The sequence below is a fragment of the Homo sapiens genome, chromosome 14 (assembly GCF_000001405.40).
Source record: "Homo sapiens chromosome 14, GRCh38.p14 Primary Assembly".
Lineage (NCBI taxonomy): Eukaryota > Metazoa > Chordata > Mammalia > Primates > Hominidae > Homo > Homo sapiens.
The window spans coordinates 69,012,546-69,015,830 of NC_000014.9; the positions used below are offsets into that span (position 1 = coordinate 69,012,546).

The 3,285-nt window shown below is 51.5% G+C and overlaps 1 annotated feature.

The window, feature by feature from the left end:
- Positions 1,689-2,651: an enhancer, noted in NCBI's record as "H3K27ac-H3K4me1 hESC enhancer chr14:69480951-69481913 (GRCh37/hg19 assembly coordinates)". NCBI's record gives its function as "activates a minimal SCP1, AML or CMV promoter by ChIP-STARR-seq in naive H9 embryonic stem cells {active_cell/tissue: H9 hESC(naive)}" and the evidence as "EXISTENCE:reporter gene assay evidence [ECO:0000049][PMID:30033119]".

The following is a 3,285-nucleotide window of genomic DNA, read 5'->3' on the forward strand; positions in this document are numbered from 1 at the left end:
TAGCTGAATTTCCAGTCTGCCGACCTGCCCAATAGATTTGGGACTTGCCAGCCCCCACAATCACATGAGCCAATTCCTTAAAATCAAAATCTCAATCTCTCTCTCTTCATATATATATTTAGGCAACCAGGCTGATGAGGCTGTGAGTGAGGCCTGAAGGCTGAGGAGGTGTTAAGTATACACAGAGGAAGGGAAGGGGGAAAGCTCTGTAGAGAGAAGTAATGGCTCATGTCCAGGCAATGAGTCTGGAGGTAGAGCATGCAGAGCCTTGAAAGAATTGGAGGCTTTTCCCCAGGAGCAAGTGGAAGCCTGGTGGGGTTTTAAGTGGGGTATGTCCACAGTGCCAGCCGTGCCAGGGCTCGGGTTCTAACCCATGTCTCCTTGGCCCCAAGTCCATGCCCTGTCCCAGCACCACCCACCTCCCTCCTAAACCAGTGGAATATTTGCTGTTATTTGTTGGTCCAGCTTATATTCTGCCCTTCCTTTGAAAGCAGGGCCCAGCTTTGATTTTTAGGGGGAATCCTTCTCTCCTTGTGCACAGTCTTGCTGGGGCTGTCATTCCAGCTTCCTCCCCTGGGACTCTGAGTTCTGAGCAGAAAGACCCAAAGATGGAATAAGCAAGTGTGGGGGGCAGCAGCTGCTATGAGAGTGGTGTGAAGCTCCTAGTTGACAGGTTTGTCTCCATTACATGCATACATACATACACACACACACACACACACACACACACACACACACACACACACATATATATGTATTTTTTTTTTGAGATGGAGTCTCACTCACTCTGTTGCCCAGGCTGGAGTGCAGTGGCATGATCTTAGCTCACCGTATCCTCCACCTCCTGGGTTCAAGCGATTCTCCTGCCTCAGCCTCCCAAGTAGCTGGAATCACAGGCACCTGCCACCATGCCCAGCTAATTTTTGTATTTTTAATAGAGACGGGGTTCCATCATGTTGGCCAGGCTGGTCTTGAACTCCTGACCTCAAGTCATCCACCTGCCTCACCCTCCCAAACTGCTGGGGTTACAGGCATGAGCCACCATGCTCGGCCTCCATTATATATTAAAATAAACCTCTAACCATGACCCCCCCTAGAGTGATTTCGTGTTCAGTAACATTTGGAATGGCTAAGTGAGATGAAGGCAGGTCCTTATGCAGGAGTCTCGGGCTCCCAAATAACACTCTGGTCGGAGCTGGCGATGGTCCTGCATGCTGCAGGATGTATCCCGCTCTCTTTAATGTGAAGCCTCTTTAGCCTTATTAGTTCCTATGTATATTTTCCACTATGAGGCCCAAAACAAGACTGTGGGGGGCCTGCATGCAGGACTAGGTCTGGGTTCTCTGTGTGCCCCTTGACCAGCACTAACCAACCTGGCCCCTCGACAGCCTAGCACTGGGGCCAGATTATCGAGAGGACATCTCCTGGGAAAACAGGCCCGAGCTCCTTGGGGGCAGGCAGGGCTCTGGATTTTATTATCTTCTTATCTTCAGTATTGTGCCTGGCACTAAGGGGCCCAGTTCACATAATGCAAAAGAGGGAGGGACAGAGAAAGGAGCTTCCTCATCTTCTGCCTCTGAGAAGAGTGAATACACAGGAGCCCTCTTGAGCAAGGCTGGCATGCAGCCACAGTGTGTGGGTATGCAATATGGATTGTTTACATATGCAAGTGCTTCCTTCCTGGTTGGTCAGTAGCCACCGTCCTGAGGCCCCACAAGTGTCCCCAGTGCACTGGCTGCTGTGATGCCTCCTCAGGAACCACCCTCCGCCCCGCCTCCAGGACCCTGCCCCCATTCCTCAAGCTGAAGTTAGTTCTGTTCAGTCAGTGCCCTTGCAGGCCAGGTGCTCTGTGGAATATCACCCCTGCTCATGGGTCTCCTGTGCCTGGGAGGCCAGCCGTTTCTGGCTGAGCAGTTGGTCATGGAGATGGGCGCAAGAACCACTCAGCTGAGACCACTGAGGCAGACCTGTACAAGAAGAACCAATGAAATTGGGTGGCACTTGGCACGCCTTCCTGGGTTCTCACACCTGGGCAGCAGGTGGCACAGTGCTTTTGGGAGGTGCCGTACTTCCTTGCTATGTTGGAAAAGGCTTTGACCTTAGAATTAGAAGGCCTGGGTCCTCCTCTCACTCCGAATGTCGTAGCTGTGGGGCCTTGAGGAACTTTCCTGGCTTCTCTGAGCTCCTATAAAAATACCCCTTGCACAAGGTTGCCGGGGGAAGAACATATTGAACACTTTGGATCTCAGTCCCTCGCCTCAAGGTCCTGTGCTAAATCCAGACCTGTAAATATAGCAGTGAAGGATCTGCCCCCGCCTGCTGCTCCCAGAAGTACTCCTAGTCCCTGGTGATGGTTACCAGGCTGCCGGGCCGTAACCAGGTACTCCCTGGGCCACTGACAGAGCCTTCTCTCCTCTGAGGGCCTGTGGGCAATGAGCAGAAAAGGGGGTGGGGGCCTCTGCCCCACACGCCTTTCCTCTGCCCTGCCTGGTTCCTGGTGAATGTGGCTCATTGCCGGGAATTGTGGGTCACCCAGACGAGGACTCATCATTGTGTAGTCAGCCTAGACTTCCTCCAGCCCCATCCCACACTACACTCACACACCACACACTCAGGCACACACACTTGCACATTCCCAGACACTCACATACATGCTCACCACTCACACCTCCACACCCACACTCACCCCCATACCCACACTCACCCCCACACAGACATGCTCACACACATTCCTACACAAGAACATGGAAAAACCCTAAGTGCAGTACATGAAAGCATTTTAGGTTGTTCACACATTTTAAACATTTACGGTTACAATTTATTCTAATACGCAGTGGAGAAAAATGACAAACCTATCAAACTAGGAATTTCACAGCAGTGATTATTTAGGACAGGGCTAAAATAGATAGGACAAGACGTAAGTGAAAAGGATACGCTTTACACTTTGGGAGGCCGAGGCAGGTGGATCACCTGAGGTCAGGAGTTCGAGACCAGCCTGACCAACATGGTGAAACCCCATCTCTACTAAAAATACAAAAACTAGCTGGGTGTGGTGGCGTGTGCCTGTAATCTCAGCTACTTGGGAGGCTGAGGCAGGAGAACTGCTTGAACCCAGGAGGCAGAGGTTACAGTGAGCCGAGATCATACCATTGCACTCCAGCCTGGGCAACAAAAGTGAAACTCTGTCTCAAAAATAAATAAATAGGCTGGGCACAGTGGCTCATGCCTGTAATCCCAGCACTTTGGGAGGCTGAGGCAGGTGGATCATGAGGTCAAGAGATCGAG